Source organism: Homo sapiens, chromosome 1, assembly GCF_000001405.40.
Source record: "Homo sapiens chromosome 1, GRCh38.p14 Primary Assembly".
Taxonomy (NCBI): domain Eukaryota; kingdom Metazoa; phylum Chordata; class Mammalia; order Primates; family Hominidae; genus Homo; species Homo sapiens.
The window spans coordinates 36,940,563-36,963,891 of record NC_000001.11 but is presented as its reverse complement, the minus strand read 5'-3'; the positions used below and the strand labels follow the sequence as shown (position 1 = coordinate 36,963,891).

The 23,329-nt window shown below is 54.0% G+C and overlaps 1 protein-coding gene across 1 annotated transcript in view, besides 2 other annotated features; it reads left to right on the top strand.

Moving 5' to 3' along the window:
* GRIK3 (glutamate ionotropic receptor kainate type subunit 3) overlaps nt 1-23,329 on the top strand; it is a 238,989-nt gene that overhangs the window by 70,624 nt on the left and 145,036 nt on the right. The window lies entirely within an intron of this gene.
* Nucleotides 4,398-4,964: an enhancer, noted in NCBI's record as "H3K27ac-H3K4me1 hESC enhancer chr1:37424529-37425095 (GRCh37/hg19 assembly coordinates)". NCBI's record gives its function as "activates a minimal SCP1, AML or CMV promoter by ChIP-STARR-seq in naive and primed H9 embryonic stem cells {active_cell/tissue: H9 hESC(naive and primed)}" and the evidence as "EXISTENCE:reporter gene assay evidence [ECO:0000049][PMID:30033119]".
* Nucleotides 21,557-22,452: an enhancer, noted in NCBI's record as "NANOG-H3K4me1 hESC enhancer chr1:37407041-37407936 (GRCh37/hg19 assembly coordinates)". NCBI's record gives its function as "activates a minimal SCP1, AML or CMV promoter by ChIP-STARR-seq in primed H9 embryonic stem cells {active_cell/tissue: H9 hESC(primed)}" and the evidence as "EXISTENCE:reporter gene assay evidence [ECO:0000049][PMID:30033119]".

Genomic DNA, 23,329 nt, shown 5'->3' with positions numbered 1-23,329 from the left:
AGGTCACCAGAGACTCAGTTCCATGCATTGCCTGCTTTGGGAGGCCCTTGTCCATACAGCCATTCAATGCAGAGGTGCCTCTGAGGTCACACCAACCTGGAAAGCATTCAGGAGGCTGCTGGGGGTTGAGGGGGATATCTCACTGGGGATTGTTTCCTAAAGGAAGCTGGGCCTTCAGAGGTGGGGAACTCTCACAGAGAGGCCAGCACACTCTCACTCCTCTTTATAGATCACAAGGAATAGAAGTTAAAAGCAGGGGTTCAAATCCCAGTTCCACCACTTCCCAGCTGTGCAACTTTGGGTGAGATCTTGGACCTCTCTGAGCCTCAGATGTTCAAAGGGAGCGAGTAATGGCATGCGGCTCAGAGTGGTTGTGAGGACTCAGTGAGATAATGCATGGAAGGAGCTCAGCAAGTGCGTGCCACACAGAAGGCGTTCCTCTCCATCGTAGTTATTAATGCAACTCCCAAGCCTCCTCCCAGGCATGCAGGAAATCACTGGGAAGCATTGGTGTGACTCTCACGTTCTGCCTGGCGTCTCGAGTGTCCTGGTCTCAGGAGGCTGAGCGGGGGGTTTGTTTATTCCCAGAGCTGTTTTCTCTATTGCCTGCTACCGCCGCTTGCCTCCCCCAGACGTACTTATGGAGCCAAGTGGGCAGGAGGCAAAGGAGAGAGTCCTGCCAGCCTGATGGAGTGGAAGACCAAGGATTAGCTCCTGTGGAGAGGCAGATGGGGAGACGACACTGGGCATGCAGCCGACCCCTCCCCTGGGCTCCCTGCCTCGGTCCCTGACCTCGGGGTTGGCTAATGTCTGTCCTTCCTTCTCCTCCCCCTTCCAAGTTCCTCTCTCCTCCTGGAATGGAAGCTGTCTGACTCTGTCTTCCTTCACCCTTTCTGTCCTTTGCATTGCCCTTGGCCACCTCTACCCACCCCAGGTCATCTCTCTCCTCATCATGTCCCTCTAGATTTTTCTCTTTCCTTCCTTCCTCCTTTTTTTTTTTTTTTTTTTGAGAGGGAGTCTCGCTCTGTTGCCCAGGCTGGAGTGCAGTGGCACGATCTCGGCTCACTGCAACCTCCGCCTCCCGGGTTCAAGCTATCCTCCTGCCTCAACCTCCCTCCTTCCTTCATTTTTTATCCGTTTGTATTGGTCTTTATCCACCTGGCTTGGTCCCTCTCTTTGCCTCTCCATATCTCCTTCTCCCTCTGACTTTTTGTTCACTTCTGTTCTCTCTCTCTCTCTCTCTCTCTCTCTTCCTCTCCCTCTCTCTCACTTTCCTCCACCGCTAACCACTTCAGCCACCGTCTGCTTGCTCGCCTCAGGCCCCACTGCACACAAACCCAGGGCCCTGGCTTAGGAGTCTCCAGGTCTTCTGGGTTTCTTGGCCCTCAGTCCCTTTCCTGTCTCCTTCCCCTGAATCTAGACCCATCCCTTTAATTCTTTCTTGAAAAGCGGCGTGGGGCTGAGATTAACCCCTGGGGCATGCATGTACCTAGGGGATACCAGAGGGAGCCCCAGGGACCTGAGGCTAGGATCTTCCATCTGTGGCTTGTTTCTGGGAATGGACCGAACATGCATTCAGTGAGGATGTATTAAGCCTGTTGTGTGCCCAGGACTGTGACAGAGATAAGAGGAATGGAGAGTGCCTCTTTGCAAGGATCTTTGCATCTAGTAGAAGAGGAGAAGCTGATACATGCGAACCTGTTCAGAAGCAGGTACTGGGTGGCCAGGGGCAGAAGCCATGCCTCGTGATGTCTGGAATTGTCTGTGCAGGGCCGGTGCTCCTGCCCCGCCTGGCCAGCAACTGCCCATCACTCAGTCCTTCTGTGAGCCTCCCTTCCTTTTGAATTTTTCTGTGTCTTCCCACCAGCATGTCTGGATCAGGGGTCCTTCATCTGCATCCCCAGAGCACCCTGGACTCTGGCTCTTAGACCAGTTCTCACCACATGTGGAATCATCTGGCTGGGTTTCTCTGTCCCCTTCCACCAGGCTGTGAGCTCGAGAGCAAGGGTGGTTGGTTGTCCTGATTACTGCTGAGTCCCCCGCACCTAGGACAGTGCCATTGCAGAGCAGGGGCACTCACATTCTGGGCTCTTGATAAGGTGGGCTGGAGAACAAAGAGATGTGACTTGAATGAAAGCAGGACAACCTTCATTCACGGGTCTTTGCATCCTTCGGCAAAATGATTTCATCGAACACATCCTGGCTCTGCCATCTCGAGACATTCATGTCGGAGCCAGCAGGACCCTGGAGATCACTTTGTTGAGCCCTCCCGTCTCACAGATAGGCCCTGAAGCCCACAGCAAGCCTGGCCTGTCGGAGGGAAGGGGCTCCCCCAGGGCTGTGCCTGGGGCCCGGTGGGCATCTGTGCTTGCTCGTGGGCTGTGGCCTCCTGAGAGCCACCCCTCTCAGTGCCTGCTGCTTTCTTTGTCTCTGCCCCTGGCTGTCTCTCTTTCTACCACTGTCCTCGTCCTCTCTCTTCTGCTTTTTTTTCCTCTGATGGGATAATTATGCTAATCAGCCTGTCAGAACAAAGATAATTTGTGGTGGGCTATTTCAGACTTTGGAATTCAGGCCAAGGCCCCTTTCCTGCTTGCCTCCGTATGCCCCTTCACCCCTAGCCTGGGCCTGAGCCAGGCAGGATTGTGGAGGGAGGGATGGTGGGTGCTTGAGGGCAGGCGGCTGAGTGAGGATGTGGGTGTGTGCACAGGTGGGCACGTGTGTGCACGCAGTGTGTTGCATGGAGCCTACCTCCATGTGCAGGGGAGAAGAGGCATCACCGGATGTCTGCAGAAACCAGCGAAACAGGGACAGGATAACAAGAGAGCTGCTGTTCCTGGGATATGAGAGTTGAAGACAGGTCGTCTCCATGTATGTGGCTTTAGCAGTGGAATGACCACTGACCCACCCCAAAGCTGTTTGGTGGTGACCTATGTGTTGTGCTTCCCTGATGAATCCCAAATCAGCACTCTTTCCTCTCTGAGGGATTGCACTTTGTCTCCCACCCCATCTCCCCAGCTTGTCCTAGGCTAGAAGGGACCTTGAGATGCTTACTCCCTCGGCCTGGTTGGTCATCGCAGGGTGGGGGAAGGAGGGATGCTGATATACCAGGCAGCAGAGCTGACCAAATAGGCCCAGAGGGCAGTTCTGTGTCTAGGGGGTGAATGGAGCAGCCTCCAAGGAGCCAGGCTTAGCAGCGGAAGTCTGGGAGGTGCTGATTGGACTGGCCTTGAGGCTGGATACAGGGCTCTGCTCTGCTCCTCTATTTCTCAGAGACTCTGAAGTGGGCCAGAAGAACATGGGCCCAGCCCAGGAGTGGACCCCGTGCCTAGAGGCGGTTGCTTAGCCATCCCAGGTCCCTTCACATGCCTCACTCTGTTCCCAGTGTCCCCTGCTTTCTCCAGGGGCTTCCAGTACCCCACTGGCCTCTAACTTCCATTCACCCAGTGATGTTTATTGAGTAAGTACAGGTGCCAAGTACTGCGTTAAATACCGGAGCTGCAATTGCAGACCACACAGGCTTACAGGGCACACAAGCTCATGGGGCAAACAGGTTCACGGGTCACACAGGCTCATGGGGCACAGAGTCACGGGGTACACAGGCTCATGGGTCACAGGCTCACGGGTCACAGAGTCACAGGGCACACAGACTCATGGGTCACAGGCTCACAGGGCACACAGGCTCATGGGTCACAGAGGCTCGGGGGCACAGACTCACAGGGCACACAGGCTCACAGGGCACACAGGCTCAAGGGGCACAGGCTCACGAGGCACAGACTCACAGAGCACACAGGCTTATGGGGCACAGAGTCATGGGGCACATGGCTCACAGGGCACACAGGCTCACAGGGCACACAGACTCGCGGGGCACACAGACTTATGGGGCACACAGACTCACGGGGCACAGAGGCTCATGGGGCATAGACTCACAGGGCACACAGGCTCACAGGGCACAGAGTCATGGGGCACACAGGCTCACAGGGCACACAGGCTCATGGGGCACAGAATCATGGGGCACACGGCTCATGGGGCACACAGGCTCACAGGGCACACAGACTCACAGGGCACACAGGCTCATGGGGCACAGAGTCATGGGGTACACAGGCTCACAGGGCACACAGGCTCACAGGGCACACAGACTCAATGGGGCGCACAGACTCATGGGACACACCGACTCACAAAGCACACAGGCTCAAGGGGCACAGAGTCACAGGGCACACAGACTCACAGGGCATACAAGCTTATGGGACACATAGGCTCACAGGGCACAGAGTTACGGGGCACACAGGCTCATGGGGTACAGAGTCATGGGGCACACAGGCTCATGGAGCACACAGTCATGGGACACCCAGGCTTACAGGGCACACAGGCTCACAGGGCACACAGTCACAGGGCACACAGGCTCACAGGGCACAGAGTCAGGGGCCACACAGGCTCATGGGGCACAGAGTCACGGGGCACAGACTCACAGACTCACAGATCACAGAGGCTCATGGGGTGCAGGCTCACAGGGCACACAGACTCACAGGGCACACAGGCTCACGGGACACACAGGCTCACCGGGCACACAGAGTCATGGGGCACAGAGGCTCACAGGGCACAGGCTCACAGGCACAGGCTCACGGGGCACAGACTTACCGGACACACAGGTCATGGGACACAGAGTCATGGGGCACACAGGTTCACAGGGCACACAGGCTCACGGGACACAGAGTCATGGGACACACAGGCTCACAGGGCACACAGGCTCACAGGACACACAGGTTCATGGGGCACAGAGTCATGGGGCACAGACTCACAGACTCACAGGTCATAGACGCTCATGGGGTGCAGGCTCACAGGGCACACAGACTCACAGGGCACACAGGCTCATGGGGCACAGAGTCACGGGGCACAGACTCACAAACTCACAGGTCACAGAGGCTCATGGGGTGCAGGCTCACAGGGCACACAGGCTCACAGGGCACACAGGCTCATGGGGCACAGAGTCACAAGGCACAGACTCACAGGGCACACAGGCTCACAGGACACACAGGCTCATGGGGCACAGAGTCACAAGGCACAGACTCACAGGGCACACAGGCTCACGGGACACAGGCTCATTGGGCACACAGTCACAGGGCACACAGGCTCGCAGGGCACACAGGTTCATGGGACACACAGGCTCACGGGGCACAGAGTCATGGGGCACAGAGTCACAAGGCACAGACTCACAGGGCACACAGGCTCACGGGACACAGGCTCATTGGGCACACAGTCACAGGGCACACAGGCTCACAGGGCACACAGGTTCACAGGACACATAGGCTCACAGGGCACAGAGTCACAGGGCACAGACTCACAGGGCACACAGGCTCACGGGACACACAGGCTTATGGGGCACAGACTCATGGAGCACAGACTCACAGAGCACACAGACTTAGGGGGCACAGACTCACAGGGCACACAGACTCGGGGCACAGAGTCACGGGGCACAGACTCACGGGGCACACAGGCTCACAGGGCGCAGATTCAAAGAGCACACAGGCTCATGGAGCAAAGATTCAAAGAGCACACAGGCTCATGGGGCACAGACTCACCGGGCACACAGACTCAGGGGGCACAGAGTCATGGGGCACACAGACTCACGGGGCACAGAGTCATGGGACACACAGGCTCACGGGGCACACAGGCTCACGGGGCACAGACTCACAGGGCACACAGACTCAGGGGCACAGACTCACAGGGCACACAGACTCAGGGCACAGAGTCACGGGGCACACAGACTCATGGGACACAGACTCACGGGGCACACAGGCTCACAGGGCGCAGATTCAAAGAGCACACAGGCTCACGGAGCAAAGATTCAAAGAGCACACAGGCTCATGGGGCACAGACTCACCGGGCACACAGACTCAGGGGGCACAGAGTCATGGGGCACACAGACTCACGGGGCACAGAGTCATGGGACACACAGGCTCATGGGGCACACAGGCTCACGGGGCACAGACTCACAGGGCACACAGACTCAGGGGCACAGAGTCACGGGGCACACAGACTCACGGGGCACAGAGTCATGGGACACACAGGCTCACGGGACACATAGGTTCATTGGGCACAGAGTCACGGGGCACAGACTCATGGGACACACATGCTCACAGGACACACAGGCTTATGGGGCACAGACTCACAGAGCACACAGGCTCACGGGGCACACAGGCTCATGGGGCACAGAGTCACGGGGCACAGACTCACAGATCACAGATGCTCATGGGGCACAGGCTTACGGGGCACAGTCACAGGGCACACAGGCTCACGGGGCACAGAGACTCACAGGGCACAGACTCACAGAGCACACAGGCTCACGGGGCACAGGACACGGGGCACACAGGCTTATGGGGCACAGAGTCATGGGGCACACAGGCTCACGGGGCACAGACTCACAGAGCACATAGGCTCACAGGGCACAGACTCACAGAGCACAGAGGCTCATGGGGCACACAGGCTCACGGGGCACAGATTCACAGAGCACACAGGCTCACAGGGCACAGACTCAGGGGGCATAGGCTCACTGGGTACACAGGCTCACGGGGCACAAAGTCATGAGGCACACGGGCTCGTGGGGCACACAGACTCACAGAACAGGTAGGCTCACAGAGCACAGAGGCTCATGGAAGCTCCTCAGGATCACACTCCCACCTGCTGTGGAAAGTTCCCTGCAGTAAACACATGTCCCTCTCTCTCTATTGATAAGAGCACAGGCCCCCAATCAGCCAATCTGATGAGGGTTCAGGACTCAGCCCAGCCTTATTCTGGAGGCTGTTTGTCAGAGCCTCCGTTTCCATAGCTGTGTGGCATCTGCCGAAGCCTCCTGCTCTGTGGCCTGCTCCAGCAGAGGGGGTCTTGCTCCTGGTCTCCCTTGGGTGCTGGGCATCGCCCAGAGTGATGCGGGTGGAGACAGAGTGCTTTACTCACAGGACAGTGAATGAATGCATGGGTAAGTGAACGAACAATGAATGACTGCTCTCTGTAAAACAGAGGACACAAAGCTTTTTAAAAAATGTTTTATTTCAGAAAAATTTTCAAATTTTCAAAATATGCCAGAGTAGAGAGAATAGAACAGTAAGTACCATGTGTTCATCCCCCAGAGTCAATTGTTGGCCCGGGGCCAGTCTGGCTTCATACTTCCCCACTGCCTTTGTCTCATTTCACCTGAAATGTTTCCTGTGCACCTCGGGGGCTTTTGTTCTGTGCTCCCCTCACCTTCCCAAGGATGCTGGGCTCAGGGTCCGCCTCTCTCAGTTCTTTGGAAGCCTTGCAAGGATTCAGCTTGGCCATGGCATGTGATGGTCGAGAGTGGTGTGGGGTGGACATGGCCCTGGGCAGCTGTTTTCTTGGGAGCTGGGAAGCCTGGCTGCCCACACACCAGCGTGGAAGGAGTTAGCGGGTTTTTCCCTCTCCGGTGGGCATGCGGAATGCTGCCGTCTGGGTAAATTGTGGCAGTTTCACGATGAGGCTTTGAGTCATTTAAATGGCTGCTGGTGAGATGCTGCCCTGAGTCATTTCATCTTCCTAAGTAACTTTCTCTTCTGGGCTTCTGCCTATGCAGCACCTTGGCCCAGTCCCCAGCCAAGGTGGCCACCCCTTCCTACCAATCACGCTGCCTGCTTCCCACCCTCAGCCCTGTCTTCCAAGGGCCTCTTCCCCTCTCTTGCTTCCCTGGCTCAGCCATTTGCTGGCTTAGTCTGAGAAGGGGAGAGGATGATGTTGAAAAGGGCGGGGAGCAGAGTTCTAGGGCCTGCCGTCCCCCAGGCCGAGCACCCCACGGCTCAGGACTCCTCCCCCACTGAGCCACTGAAGCCCCCACAGGCCCCGCTCTGGCTGTTGGTGGAGCCTGGAGGCCTGCAGGAGGAGGTGTCACCAAGAACCTTGTCTTCCTCACCGTCACCTACCAGTTCTGAGAATCTGGTCTGATGCCGAGCCTTTGTTAAGAAGGCCTTGGCCACAGGCCATGGCTGGCCAGCCAAAACACCAGACCCTGGCCCTGGTGGCCAGCGGGGGATCCTTACTGACAGGGATGAGGTTGTGAGTCAGAAAGGCCACAGACACTCTGGATGTGTGCATGAGCACTTGCGTGAATGTGTGCAAGTGTGTCTGGTCCTGAACGCCTTGGTGTGCTGGTTGTGTCTTTGTCTACACAGCATGTGCCAGGGTGTTTCTGAGCCTTCTGTTGTTGTGTTCACATGTGTGAGTGCTTGAGGTAGCCTGTTCAGTATGCTTGGCTGCAGCTGTCCAGATATGCTTGTGTGTGAATGTATGTGCATGTGCCCTGTGTTTGTATGGAGCAGGGCAGCCTGTGTGTGCATGCGTGTTCTCCGGGGGCGGGGGTATGTCTGTGTGTGCTGTGTCTGTGGTTCTGGGTTTGAGTGATGTGCGGGGCCTCCCAGAGAGGGCCTGTGACTCAGTGCCTGTGTTCCACTGTGTGTTGGGTGCTGTGAGTGTGCCTGTCAGCCTCTGTGTATCCATCCACGTGTTTGTGTGCACGTGTGCGCTGCTCGGTGTGTGGACGGGGAAGCACAGTTTGGGTGGTGTTGGGTCAGGCCCAGCCCCTGTACCCCACCGCCCCACACCTGCCCCTTCCTGTCCTGCTGGCAGGGTTGATGACAGCCATGCCAGGCCCTACCCTTAGCCAGGTGGGCTGTCACTTATTTAGGGCTGCTATTTCAGGAGGGGAAGCAGCTGGCTGGCGGGCTGCTCATCTGAGCCTCAGCAAATCAGTGAGCTCAGGACCCACTCTGGGGTGGCCCCTCACTGCTGAAGTCTGCTTGGGGTTGGAGGCCCATGTGGCTGAGGCCTCTGTCTACCACCCTGACACCACTTATAGCACCACCATCCAATGTAGAGCTGGCTTGGGCTTCCTGCCTGTTCTCAAAGGAATAGGCCCTTACCCAGGGCTCCTATGGACCTGTGTGTGTGTGTTCGTGTGTGTGAACGTGCATGTGCACAGGTGGGTACACACAGGCATGTGTCCCTGGGTCCACACCTGCAGGCACTTGCCCACTATGCACTTATACTTGTGTGAGGAAGGGCACCTTTCTGTGGCCTGAACTCATGTGTCTGTAGCTGGTTTTTTTCTGTGATTTGTCTATGCATGTGTGTGTCCTTGTGCGTGCACAGGTGTGTACACATGTGCTTCTCTGCGTGTGTGTGGACCTGTGTATGCATATGTATGTGCATGCACACTCTTTCCCCAGCCTCCTTACAGTAATCAGGGGAACCTCAGGGACCTGTCCTTTGGAACACAGACATGTGCTACCTGTGCTCCTGCTGCTGGCCTCAGCCCCCGTCCCCACCCCAAGAGTCCTGGAGACCCACACATGCCACACAATGCTGCCTTGCCCAGAACCCTGGAGTGGCTCCCCACATGCTTTCTGTTGGCCTTCAGGGTCGGGGGCCTCCTCCAGGCCACTCTCACTTCTCCCGCAGATGACCTTTCTGGCTGCTCTGATTGGCATGTGGCTTCCTCTACTGAAAGGCATTCCGTGACTCTTCACTGAGCAAGTCCTCTGATGCTGAGGCTGTGTGCTGGGCTCCAGGAGAGGCAGCAGGGGTAATCATGGGCCAGCATTCCAAGACGTCTTAGGCTAGTGCAGTGGCAAGATCCTGGAGCTCAGATGTAAGGTGTGCTAGAGAGAGGTGAGCTTGGTGAGGGGTGAGAGCTTCCCAACAGGAATGCCCCCCTCTATCTCACCCTGAGAAGCATTCTTGTCTTTGAGAGTCCCTGGCACAGCCCCTCATCTGGTTCCCCAGCGGAAAGGATGCCCTTCGTCCCCCTTGACCCCTTGCACCTAGTAGATCCCTTTCCTCTTAGGACTAACGGTTTCCCATCATCAGAGCTTGGCTCAGCTGGCACGAAGGAAGGAGGCCAAGGGCAGTCTGACTGCAGGGGCAGTACCCTTGGGAGACAGGGGCTGGGGGTCCTCTGCCCTCTAATTGTCCTTTCCCGGCAGCTTCCCTCAATCAAGCCATTGATTTGAGGGCCCCCTCTGTGCTTCCCCTCCAGGGGAGCTTCTTCAGGGCCATGCTTTGATTGCTGCGGAGCGAGTGAAGCCTGTGTGAGCATCCCCTCTGAGCATCTCTCACCACCTGCCCTGCATCTCTGCTTGGACATCTCAAAGGCACTCAGCCCCAGCTGGCACCTTCGGGTGCCACTTCCGTGAGCTGGAAACCTGTGGGGTCCCTACCGACTCCTTCCTAGTCACCTTTCCTTTCCCCTGCCTGGTCCATGGCCCCATTGTGCAGATTCACCACCTAAGCATACCCAAGCCCTCTTCTGTCTGCCAGCAGCCTGCCCTAGGCCATTGTCATCACCACCTAAGCTCTTCTCCTTACGTATGCCCTAGCCCTCACCCTTCAATCTGTTCCACATGTGAGATCTACAATTTTGATCATGGCACTCTCCTGCTTAAAGCCATCAATAGCTCACCATTGCTTTTAGGATGACTCCTGCCCTTCACTTGGCACACTAACTCCTTTATCCTGCAGGTCTCGGCTCAACAGCATATCTGCAGGGAGGCCCCCTTGGACCTCACTCCTCTTGCCCTCTACCTGTGCCAGGCCAGGTCCTCTTGCCATCTGTTCTGCTCAAGCTGGGAACGCTCCGCACTTGCCAGAGCCCAAGGGCAGCTCCTCCTGACTAAGTGCTATGAGGCAGGGGCAGGGGGAGGGGCAAGGACAGGGCTGTCCACACGTTGTCCTCAGTGCTAGCAGTGAAGTGTTGTGTCTGCACAGACATGGAGCCCAACAGACGTGTGCTGAATGAATGCATGAGTAAAGGGCACTTGAGCACAGTCTCTTCCTCCTCCTCCCGCTCCTCCTCACCCAAGTAGTCCTGGGTCAGCCTGCAGAGCCCTTCGGAGGACACAGCATGGACACCCTGATGGTGATGCTGATTCTCCCTGTCAGCTGCCTTGTACAAGTGTTGCACGTGCTGTTCCCTCTACCTGGAGCATTTCTCTCAGGCACATAGCTCGTTCCCTCTCCTCCAGATTTGGCTTCAAGTGTTCTCACCTTGAAGAACCCTTCCCTGAACACCATGTATAAATTAGACCCCCCAACACCCAGTATTCCCTATCATCTCCTTTTGGCTTTTCCTTCCTGGCACTTATCACAATGGAATAGTCATTTATTCATTCATTCATTCATTCATATGCTTTCTCATTATCTGTTTGCCCCACCAAACTCTAAGCTCCCTGGAGGCAAGTTCCTCCCCACTGTTGACCCGGCACCCATCAGAGCCTGCTGGCACACAGTGCGTGTTCATTATGTGTGTAAATGAAGGATTGCATTATGTAACTTATTTTCCAACCCTGTCAGGGATCCACTTTAGAGATGAGAAAACTGAGGACCAGAGAAGTGAAGAAACTCACTAGTGGTCACAAAACTAATGAGAGAGGTGGTCTGGAGGTTCACATCCAGATTTGACTGATCCTATTTACTCTCATTCATTCATTCATTCATTCAGCACCTGCTCTGTGCAGAGGCCCTGTGCTGGGAACAGAGGCACAGAGATGGGATCATCACAGCTGCTGCCTGGATGACAGCTCAGTCCAGAGGGGAGGGGACTGAAGACAGTGGTCAGGAGGAGGCCCTAACGGACATCGTGGGCCCTGAGGAGACACCATGGAGGAAGGGCTCTTTGAGTAGGGTTTTGAGGGATGAGTAGGCTCTCGTGGCTGAGTGGTACGTATTGTACAGCAGAAAGAACACTGGACAGGGAATCAGGAGGCCTGTGTTCCAGTCATCCCCACTCCCTGTCACTTTGGGAAAATCACATTCCCTTGCTGACCCTGTTTCTGCATCTGCAAAGCCGGGCAGGCCCTGTGCTGACAGTCTGTGGGCTGAGGTGGCTGACTGGCAGGAACATTCATTTCCCTTCGATGCTCCTCCCCACAAGACAGAACCCACCTGGCAGAGGCCCTGGCTGTTTGGCAGAGTGGGCAGAGCATGGGGCAGCTGCCCTCTACCTGCCCTGCCTCCTGTGGTCCTCCCGCCCCTCCGCCCTCCAACCTCCTTCTCTCTGCTTCTTCCCTGTTCCCCCCATTTCTGCCCTCTCCTCTCCCTCCTCCTCGTCTTCCTCAGCCCCTTTCATCCTCTTCTCCTTCTCCCTCCCCCTTTTATTCCTCCTCTTCCTCACCTTCTCTTCTTTCTCCCCCATTATTTTCCTGCTGCCCTGCCCAAGGGGGAGAGCACAAAGGGTAGTCAAAGTTAATTTAGGCTCAAGTACCTGGTCACCTAGAAACAAGGCCAGTCCCCCAATGCAGGGCCTCAGCCGTGGCCTCATTAATCTGCATGCGACCAGCATTGCCAGTTCGACATAAGTAGGACAGAAGCCATGCTGCCGAGGAGAGGGGGCCTTGGGCTCTGGCCACTTGGTCCCCCAGCAGTCACGTGGCCACCCCCCAAGTGTGCAGTGGGAAGAAGACAAAGGAGAAGGAAGGAGAAACAAAAGACCCCAGGGCATCTGCTGTCCCTTCTTCCACATGTCCTAGATTTCGGCCCAAGGACCCCTAAGTATTTGCTGTCCCTTGCTGGTATTGTCCTTGATCGTGATCACTCTTCTTCACCCTGAGTCCGGCATTCTGTTGGTCCTTCCCTTCAGAGGGTGCTGCCAGACTTGGAGTCACTAGTCTCAGTCTCTGCTCACATGTCCTGACCCTCAGAGGACTCTAATGTCCAGCCCCCTGCTGTAAGCTTCTGCAGCAGGTGACACTGAACAGCTTGGCCTCCTGGCCCAGCCAGCTCCTCTACAAAGCCAGAAAGACAAAGGTCATTTGCATGCTCCAGACCTTCTCCTTTCCTGGGCCCTGCTCTGGGAAAATTTCCCTTTGGGTCTGAGCACATTTGTTCCACCCTAACTCTGCTAACATTTAGAAAAACCTGGGGCCCCAGTCTGCAGCAGAGGCTGCATCATGCCCCACCCCAAACCCTCCTGCCCCACTCCAGACCCTCCGCTCCCCGTTGCTGTAACTTCAGAGGCTTCTATCATCCCAGGGGAGTGAGTGTAGAATTGGTAGGGTGACAGCATGTGATCACTCACGAGATCAGCTCCCGCGCAAATCATGAACCTCCAAAGCCACAGTTCTGCTCAGCTGCACAGAAAACATCAAGTTCTCAACAAGACAGTTTCTAAGAATAAACAAACAGATAAATCGCATGTAGCCTCTTGCCTTTACCAAAGCAAGTTGTGCAGCAGGATGTGGGTACCAATTGGGCCACAGTCTCTGTGCCTCTGCTGTGTCACCCCACCGTCTGCACAGCCAAAGACTGGCTTAGCCAAGCCCAGAGCATGTTGTCCAAAGGCCATTCCAGCTTCATCTTCCTGAAATCTGATTTGTCTGGGAGTGTGGAAAGATGGGCTTAAACATTGGCCACAACCTAACTGCCAATCTGTTAGGATTTGTCAAATAAATTATGGAGCATCCACATTTTATTGGAAAAATATTATTTTATAAATGGAGAAAAGCCTGGAAAGACCTCTACCAAAATACTAAAGGTGCTTTTTCTGGATGGTGCATTTATAAATGTTGTTAACTTCTTTATGTTATTCAATGGACATGCATTTTGTGAGCAGGAATGATTATATTTAAAAATCTGAGTTTGAATGCCAATTTGATCGTGTCTCAGCTGTGCTATCTTTGGCAAGCCACTTCTTTTCCAGAGTTCCAATTTCTACACTTCTAGGACTGGGGTAATAAAGTCATTTTCATAGCATTGTTCTGAGAAAGAAAATGAGATCATGTGTATGTGTATTGTGTGTGTGTTGTGTATGTGTGTACCCTGAAGCTAGATCTGGCACACTTTTAGAGCAACTCCAGTATGATGGCCACACACAGACACTCTAGAGCCAGGTGGCCTGGATTCAAATCCTGGCTCTGATATTTACCAGCTGTGAGATTTTGGGAAGGTTGCTTGACCACTCTGTGCCTCTGTTTCTTCTCTGTAAAGTGGGGTTGTGATATGAATTAAAAGAATTAGGGCCAGGCGTGGTGGCTTATGCCTGTAGTCCCAGCACTTTGGGAGGCCGAGGTGGGCAGATCACCTGAGGTCAGAAGTTCGAAACCATCCTGGCCAACATGGTGACCCCCCTGTCTCTAATAAATATACAAAAAGTATTAGCCGGACATGGTGGCACACACCTGTAATCCCAGCTACTCAGAAGGCTGAGACAGGAGAATCACCTGAACCTGGGAGGCAGAGGTTGCAGTGAGCCAAGGTTGCACTATTGCACTCCAGCCTGGGGCAACAGAGCGAGACTCAAAAAAAAAAAAAAAAAAAAAAAGAAAGAGAGAGAGAGAAAGAAAAAAAAGAAAGAAAAGAAAGACATGCAAAGTACACAATAAGAGCACAATAAAGATGTTATTATTGCTCTTATTACTTTATTATTGAGTACATGTTCTTTTGCTTTCTTTCCAGGCTGTTGGGATTGAAAGCCCTCTGTGAGCTGTGGGTCTGCCTTCTTGGGGAGAGCCCTGTCCACATTTGGCTGTTCCAGAGTTGAAAGAGACAGAGTGAGGGCCCTCTAGTAGCTTCAGTAGGGGGACTGGAGGCCACCATGAAAACTAGGGTTCAGTGTAGAGCTAGGATCAGAGATCAGAATAGAGTTTAAGGTCAAGGTTCAGTCTGGATCAAGATCAAGATGAAGTTGAGAAAGGAACCAGGTCTGTGTCTGGGGCCAGGGCCCAAGTTTGTCTCTTGCTTTCTTGTGGAGCCAGGCAGGTCCTGGGGCCTGTTCCACAGTGCAGGGCTGGGTTGTGCTCCTGGATGGCCTTTCCCTGGGTCCCACCTTCACCCTGGGGCCTGTTTCAGCCTCCCCATAGACTGCGTGCTGCCCTTCTTCCCAGGCAGTCTGAGCCACCCAGCAGTGCCCTTGACCCCTGCTCAGGGAGTCCCCAGGAGCTGCGCTTGGTGCCCTGGTCCCTGAGCGTCTTCTAGCTTGAGGAGCAGCCAGCTCAGACCTGGCAGGAGGGGGCAGCCTCCACAGCACCTGTGCCAAACCTTAGCTATATTTTTAGAATAGCTCCTGCCTGTCCACCTGGCGGGCAGTGGGCTGGAGGGCTGGAGGGCTGGAGACAAGGAGGCCAGGCGCTCCTTCCCCCAGGCATTGACAAGCTGTTGGAAGGCCCAACTGAGCTGACCTGGGTTCCTACACTGGGCCTTGCTGGTGAGGAGCCGGCATGGAGCTGTGTGCACAGATGGCCCTACATGCGCTCATAATTTGCCAGAATAAGTAGTTATTATTAATCTCCCCTGTGCTCTCCTTCTTACCCTTCCTCTCCCTTTTTCTGATTTTCCCAGGTTGATTGTGAGGTGCATGGAGGCAGGGGTTGCCTCTTTCTTTGATGCTCAGTGCCTTGTTCAGGACCTAGCACACAGTAGGTGCACTGTCAGCAGGAAGCCAGGCACATAGGTTCCCCCTCCATCTTAGAAGCTCATCCAAACAAGATCTATACACAGTAGGGCTTCAGCCAACTCAGATCAGCACACAGGAGGTGCTTTCTCAGCATGGAGCCTGGCACGTAGTAGGCCTCTCCCAGTACAGGATCTGGCACACAGTAGAAATTCCTCCAGCATTGGCACATAGTAGGGCGTCAGCCTTCCTAGAGTGTGCTTCAGAGCAGGCAAGTTTCAGAAAAATGTCCCCTGGGTCAAGTTTTCCTTCTCTCTTCACTGTGCTCAAGAAATATGTACTGAGTACCTAGTACTGCCCCAGTTTGATACCAGGTGTTGCATGGGGGAGCAGAGTAAGGGAGACACAAACCTTTTATTCTTATTTAAAGAACCGACAGCCAAGTGATGAAATACCACCCCTTTACAAATAACTTATGACTGAGGCAGGGGTAAGGAGTGAGGCTGCTTGGAGGAGGTGGTCCTGGAGATGAGTCAAGTTTCTCAAGTCAGCAAAAGTGCAAAGGCAAGTGTAGAGAGTGAGGGTGACCCACGGAGATGGCCATGAACCATCGCTGATCACTGCAGCAAAGTATCATACTGTGGAGGGGGTGGGGTGTCATTCTCTCATTCAACAAGTATCAGGAGCTGTGAGGGGCTGGCATGGCTCTAAGCTGTGATGCTACAGCTCTGGATAAAACTATCCTGCTTCATGGGGGGGCAGGAGGATAGAAAATAGCAGCATATTAGATGTCAGCTGCTGATAGTGCTTTGAAGAAAAATAAAGGAGGGGAAGGGTGAGGAGCTCACTGGAGGGGGTGAGCTCTTTCCACATCTTCTCTGATAAGATGACATGTAAGCTGAAATCTGACTCCAGGAAGGGAGAGGGCATGGTCACGGGGAGAGGAGAACCTGACAGGCAGAGGGAAGGGAGGGCAGGAAGGTGGGGGCCAATTGCCAAGAGCCTTGAATTCTAGGGTAAAGAATTTGGATTGGATTTTGTAGCAGTGGCCAGGCTCTGAAGGCTTTTGAGCAGAGGACGGATGGGATGAGAGCTGCAGGAAGGAGAAGATGGCAGAATTGTGGGCAGCTGAGACCAGCGTGGAGGGGTGGCAGTGGTCCAGGTGGGAGATGCCAGGCCTGGGTGCAGGTAGTGATGGGGGCAGGGCAAGAGGAGGGGCAGATGCCAGGGCTGTGTGAAGGTGGCATTTTCTGGTGTGAGGTTGAAGGAGGATGAAACAAAGGCATGTGAGGGTGAGTTGGGTACCATGATCGGAAATGCACACACCAGGCCCAGGAGTGGGCCAGGAGCAGATGGTCCATCCCTTCTGAAGCTGTTGTTTTCCTCCTGCTTGTCCCTCTCCTCCCCTTGAGCCTCCTCTCTCCCTTCCCCCATGTCCTCTTTTCCCTTCTCCTCCTCTAGCACCTCCTGCTACAATCTTAGAAACTCCACGGTCCAAATCCCAAGTATCTGGGCTTCTCCTCTGCTTTCATCTCACATGTGTTTCTTTCTCCTTCTCTGTCCTTTCTTACCCCTTCTGAGCCAGTGATCCGTAGAGGGTATAATACAAATCAAATTGTCCAGGTCTTCCTGGGGTACCTGACAGCCTGTTGGGGTGGAGACAGTGTCGGGGTAGTTGGATGCCCTGGTTTTTGTGTCTCACAGAATAGGGTTTGCATCTCAACCCTGCCGTGTATGAGCAGCACCATGATGGGTGAGTTATTGGATGCACCTCTGCCTCCGATCCCTCATCTGTGAAATGAGAAGGTGCATGGGCTAGCACGGGGCCTGGCACAACATAAGGGTTGTGTGGGTGGCGGCTGACGCTATGATTATTACTGTTTGTGGTATTGTTACTTATTCGCCAAATGTGAGGCTATCCACCCAGATAGATCCTTCCCATGCGAGAGCCACCTTCAGAGGGGAGTGTGTGTTCCAGGATCAGGCTAGACTACCCAAGTCCTTCCTGATAATGGGCATGCCCGAGTGTCCATAGCCCCACTCCAGAAGGGCTGTCCAGCAGCCCCTTGGAGCATCCTTCCTGCAGCCTGAAGCAGCCACTGAATGCTCCGTGTCCCTGTGGAAGGTCCAGTGGTCACTTGCAGACTCCTGCTGGAGCCAGGAACCCTGGGTTGCCCAAAGGCCAGGACCCCAGTCTGCACTGCACGACCTGTGCTCACATAGACCAAGGGCCGGTGTCCCAGGTGTCCCATCTGCTCTGTCCTGGTGCAGTCCTGCCTCCAGCCCCAGGCTCCAGGTGTCAGGGCTTGCCCAGGAGGCTCTGGATACCCATCGCTCTCCTGTCCCCTGGCCTGGGCCTCAACTTTAATGGAGGAACTTCAGGCACCTGGCTTTGCACTGATCACAGGCCTGGCCCCTATCCTGGCTGCATATCCTCGGGCTGCCTCTTGCAGTTCTGCCTTCTCTCTCACTTTCTGTCAGTCATTCTCATGGGTGTCCCCTGGCTCTTCACCTTGGACAGAGATTTCCGAGGGGGCCAGGAGTTTGACATCCTAGGGAAATCAGGATGCTCCAGAACGTAGGTCCCCCTTGGAGCACAACAGGGCTTCATCTGCAGGGATCCATGGGAATGAAAGACACTTCCCTGTCCAGCATAGGTGGTAGGAAGAGCAGAACATCCAGAGTCCCCATTCATCAGCTGTGTGACCTTGGGAAAGTCACGTAATCTCTCTGAGCTTCTGTTTCCTCAATTCTGAAGTAAGACTAGCAATTCTATCCTCTCAGGGACAGCGTGCTGATCATATGAAATTACACACACCAAAAGAACCTTTGAAGCCTCCAGGTGCTGGAGAATATTGGTTACCTTTTCCTACCTGAGTCAGGAGGCTCAGATTGTGCCTCTAAATTGAGAGACACTCTGAGCTATCTGTATTCTCTTGTACATCTCCGGTGTCTTTCCATCTGTTGGCAGGAAGGATCAGTCTAAACGATGTTGCAGGATCAGTCTAAATGACGTCGCAAGTCTCTGCCAGGTCTGAAAGCCTATGATTGACACTTGGGTTTTTCCATTCCCTGGCCGAAACCCAGAGGCCTGAGAGCCCATCCCTGACCAGGCAGAGGCCCCAGGCCTGGTCTTTGAGACTGGCTCAGGCCCCCTCTAGCTGCCCAGTCTCACTTCACTCCCCACAACCTCCACTCCACTGCTTCTTCTACCCTAAACTGGTGCTTTGTCCAGAAACTAGTTGCTGTGATTCCACTGTTTATCTGGAGACAATACAAGTCAATTGAAACTGCCTCATCAGGAGAAATATGTTCCACTTAGATCATTAAATTAGCTCGACACCGGCCTTTGATGAGGCCTGCTTGAGAAAGGCGTCCGCCCTTGTGCTCCAGTGATCATTGGCCACTGTGGGCCATTTGCTTAATGAACAGTGTGGCCGACGGCCAGGGGTGGAGCCAGCTGGGCACACCTGCTGCCCACAGGCCAGCATGGCTGGGGCAGCCTCTCTAGGTCTTGCCTTGCTACCACCAGGCTCAGCAGCTGGCCCTTCTGAGAGGGCACCAGGGTCAGCTCAGCCACTGCTAGAGACCATAATATAAAGATGGCACAAGCCACTGTTCGCTAGACTCTTCCTGTGTCCTCTGCCAGGTGTGGACTGAGAGCTCTGCAGACATTACCTCGCTGAAAATACCAGCAGCCTTGAGACGTCAAGGTGGTTGTTCTCCCATTTTAAAGATGAGGAAATTGACATAGACCCACATCTCTCTGACCCCAAAGCACAAACCCCTAACCACCACACTCAGTGGCCTTGGGAGATCACAGGGAAGGGGGTGCGGTGGAGGACTGAGGTGCAATATGAGGGGAGACTGCAAGAAATGGAAAACTCCAGCAACCCTTACCCCAAGTCTCCAAGGCCCCATTTCTCTTCCCTTCTGATCTGGCTCTGGCCTCTCTTGTGGCTTTAGTCCAGAGAACTGAGAACACTCTCTTCCCTCTCTTCCTCCCTCCTCTTTTCTTCTTCCCTCCCCTCTTCTCTGGTATCTTGCAACTCTCAATTTCCTGCTTCCTCTCAAATTCCAACACTTGGGGGACTACAGAAATGAGTGGGAAGCCTGCAGCCCCTTCGGCCTGAGGGGATTCCCTGTGCCATCTCTGATATTTATCTCCAGGGCACAACGTTCTTCAACCAAGTTCATCCCACTTTCCCAAGGCTTGCTCTGCTAGCAACAAAACACCTTCTAGCTATTTCTTTACTAGCAGAGGAAGCCCTGGGAAAGTTGTTCTCCTCTCTCCTCTCCTCCCTCCACCCCTTTTTCATTTCCCCTCCTCCTTTTGGGGAATAGGATTTATAAGACAGGTTGCAGCCTTTTGAGGAGCACTCAGTTTGAGCTGTATGTATCCCAGGTGGAAGGCTGAGTGACAGCTTCAGGTTTCCTCAGATGCCCTGTGTGAGATGCCATGTCCTGAGCTGGTCAAGAGCTTGGTAAGAAGCTACCAAGGGCCAGGGGCATCTTTCTGCCAAGCTAAAGTCCCTGTCTGGAATGAAGCTCTCACCCATATGGAGATACCTGGCAGGTACCTGCAGGACCAGGAAAAACAGTGTGAGGCCAATGCTTGCAGCAGACCAGCTCATGGTTGGGCAGCACGGGGCAGAGATGGGTCTCCCTGGCTTCCCAGGGCTTCTCCCTAGAGAGTAAGCTGGGAGAGCAAGCACATGTGCCTTGCTCATCCTAGAGCCCAGTGACTGCTGTGCCCACAGGATAAGAGTAGACCATAAATTAATGAATGAGTGATAGCTGGCTATCATTAATTCTGCTACTATTCGTTCATTTTCTTTTATTTATTTGCTCATTTATTGTCTACTTTTGTCAGGAGTTTTCTGGTTCGGATCTTAACATATAATTATCTCCAGGTCCAGGACTAGGGAGAGACTAATGAGATGCCTCAGGCACAATATTTAAGGAGACATTGCTCTCAGGGTCATGCTAGTGCCTGATTAGCTCAGCTCCTGAAAATAACCTTGCTGGTCGGTATTGTAATTTCCATTGTGTAGAGGTGGAAATGGAGTCAGAGGAAGGCTACTTTACATCTTCTAGTCACCTGGCTGGTAATATTTGTTCCCAGATCTATGTGGCTTCAATGCCTTCCTTCTCTCCTTGGTCTCAGTTTCTCTGCCTTGCTTGACCCCTCAGCCAGGGACCTGGGATGGGGGAGGGAGGAGGAGTTGCAGCCACATGCTTCTTTTCATGTTTTATGTGCTGCCCCAGCCCCCCCAACCCCCAACAACCACCCTCATCTCCTGCACCCTGTGCAGAGGCTACCAGGTGTCTAGGTCTAGTCCAGTCTCCTCTGTTTAGATGAATGTGACCATGGGCAAGTTACTTAAACTCCTCATGCCTCAGTGTCCTTAGCTCTAAAAAGGGACACCATAGTCATCCTTATGTCATGGGGTGCAGGAGGGATGCTGGTGAGTGGGAATGTGTAGTGGGTACAACACTTAGAACAGCACCTGCCACATAGCTTCATGTAGTTGTTATTGTTTTGCATAGCCTTGTAATCTGAAGGTGGGGGGAGTCTGCAATGAGCCCCAAACCCTCAGTCCACTGAGCTGCCCTATCAGGAGAGTGGTCCCCCACTTCCCCAGGGTTAGCAGTTCCCTGGGCTGCCAGCTTCACCTCAGTTCTCCTGGGATGGTTAGTGCCCAGGAGCCACTGGGAGGTGGAACCATGGGGGCGGGGTTTGGCCCCTGACTTCCTAGTTCCCCTCCAGCTACAGGCAAGGCATGGGGGTGGGTTTTGGCCCCTGACTTCCCAGTTCTCCTCCAGCTGTAGGCAAGGGTTGGGGGTGGGGTTTGGCCCTTGACTTCCCAGTTCCCCTCCAGTCAAGTGATGAGGTGGAGTTTGACCTCCACCTGCGGTCAAAGGGTGGAGGTGGGGTTTGGCCCTTGACTTCCCAGTTCCCCTCCAGCTGCAGGCAAGGGAACAGCCTCCCTAGCTCCTTCTAGCTTGAGCTCTCCTGGAATTCACGGGAGGTTTGGAGAGAGAGTATTCACACTTCACTGAAAACGTGTTTCAAGCAATTAGCAGGTCTTTACCAGAGGAGCCTTTGAAGTCCAAGCCCAGACCCATCTCTGTGAAGGGTTTCCGCAGAACTGACAAGCTGGCAGACGCTGCTATCAGCTCGGCCCTTTCCTAAGTGCCAGGGGCTCCTGGCTCTGGACTGGCACCACAGGACTCATGTGAGTCACCCCGCGGTGGCAGCGCCAGCATCATCACCAGCACAGAGACCTGCTCGACGGAGAATTCAATGTGTGCTGCTGCAACTGCAGGTAGTGCCGTGGAGTTCGGCTTCCAGTGGGGTCCTGTGTCAAGTCCATGGGATTTTCCTGCCCTCCAGGTCTCCCAACCCCAGGCTGGCAAGTGGAAGCCTGGACTGAACTTGGAGCTCCTGCATCCTCAAAGAGTGCTTGGCCCTGTAGATTATTATTCATTGAATAAACAGATGAATTTCTCTAACGATAGTGCCATGGCCTGCAGTTAGCCTCTATTCCTGCATCTGCAAGGTGGAAACAGGCAGGGTGAGGGGGGGATAGGCTACCTAGTCTCCAGGATTCTGAGCTTGAACTCGCTTTCCTTGGAAGGGCTTATATTGCAGTGGAATGAAGATTAGGTCATAATTCTGCTCCCCTTTAAAAGCTGCATGATCTTGAGCAAATCAATGGATGCATCTCAGTTTCTCCATCTGTGAAATGGGTAAAATAAGCTTGATTTTGCAGGGCAGTTGTGAAGACAAAAGGAGATAATGCCTAGAAAGCGCCCAGCACAGCAGGTGCTTGTGGTCTATTGAATACAAGCCACACCTCTTACTGTGTCTTTTCTGACTGCCTCTCACAGTGTCAAAGTAGACCATAGCCACGGTGGGAGGGGCGCCTTTATACAGCACTCCCCCCCTCCACCCCACTGAAGATGGAGAGAAAGAGAGAGCCAGCCAGCATGGGAGCCAAAGGCAGCTGTCCCCACTCTCCTGTCCCGTGAAGCCACCCCCAGCCCGGGCCTCTGGGCTTCTGTTTGATTCCCTTTCCCTGACATTCCATCAATCATCGTAATTGCTTCTCCCGAAAAATGAATTTGTAGTTGATTTCTTCAAAAGAGGGAATCAGCCAACAGATAAAAAGGTTGTTTTATTTAATTTGCATGAAGAGGCTGCCTGCTGCTGCCCAGCTGTGTGTCTGGCGCTTGGAGTGGGCATGCACAGGTAGATGCAGGCTGTGTCCTGGCTCAGGGATCATCTTGCCAGGCTGCCTGGATTTTTGGTCACAGAGACTGGGTCATGAGAGTCCATCCTGATCTGAAATCATTCTATCATGGGAGACCTGCACCTGCACCATACTTGTCATTTTTGGGATAGAGAAGGGCTTCTAGCCCAGGAGACTGAGACCCAAGAAACCACTTACGGGGGCAGAAACTCAGGAGGTCAGGGGGTCTAATAGGCCAGGAACCCAATACACATGGCAAACATCATCACATTTTCTTGGGAAGGGAGGTGGACATTTAAAATACATGTGTGTTTGGGTCTGATTGGGAACCACAGGCTCCTCCCTGAGATATATTTCCCTGAAGAATGTTGTGTGTCCTCTCCAAGTCAGCAAACAGTGGTGCTCCCTTGTGCTGGGGATGTGGCTGATTCTCTCCAGAAGCTTCTAGTGCCATGAGTGTGAGCTCTGTTTTCAGGAGAAATCCTTTGCAAGGGGCGAAGATTAACTAGCAAGGCAGAGCCACAGCTTAGGGTATCAGAAGTGGGATCAGCCAGGGAGAAGCATGTAAGGGGATACCTTCTCCTCTGCCAGGCCCCTCAGATGCTGGGCAGTGCCCCGGGAGGCAGGCCCCAAGGTTTTCTGAGGCACAATGCAGCAAGACTCGTAGTGTTATGCAATATCTCAAGAA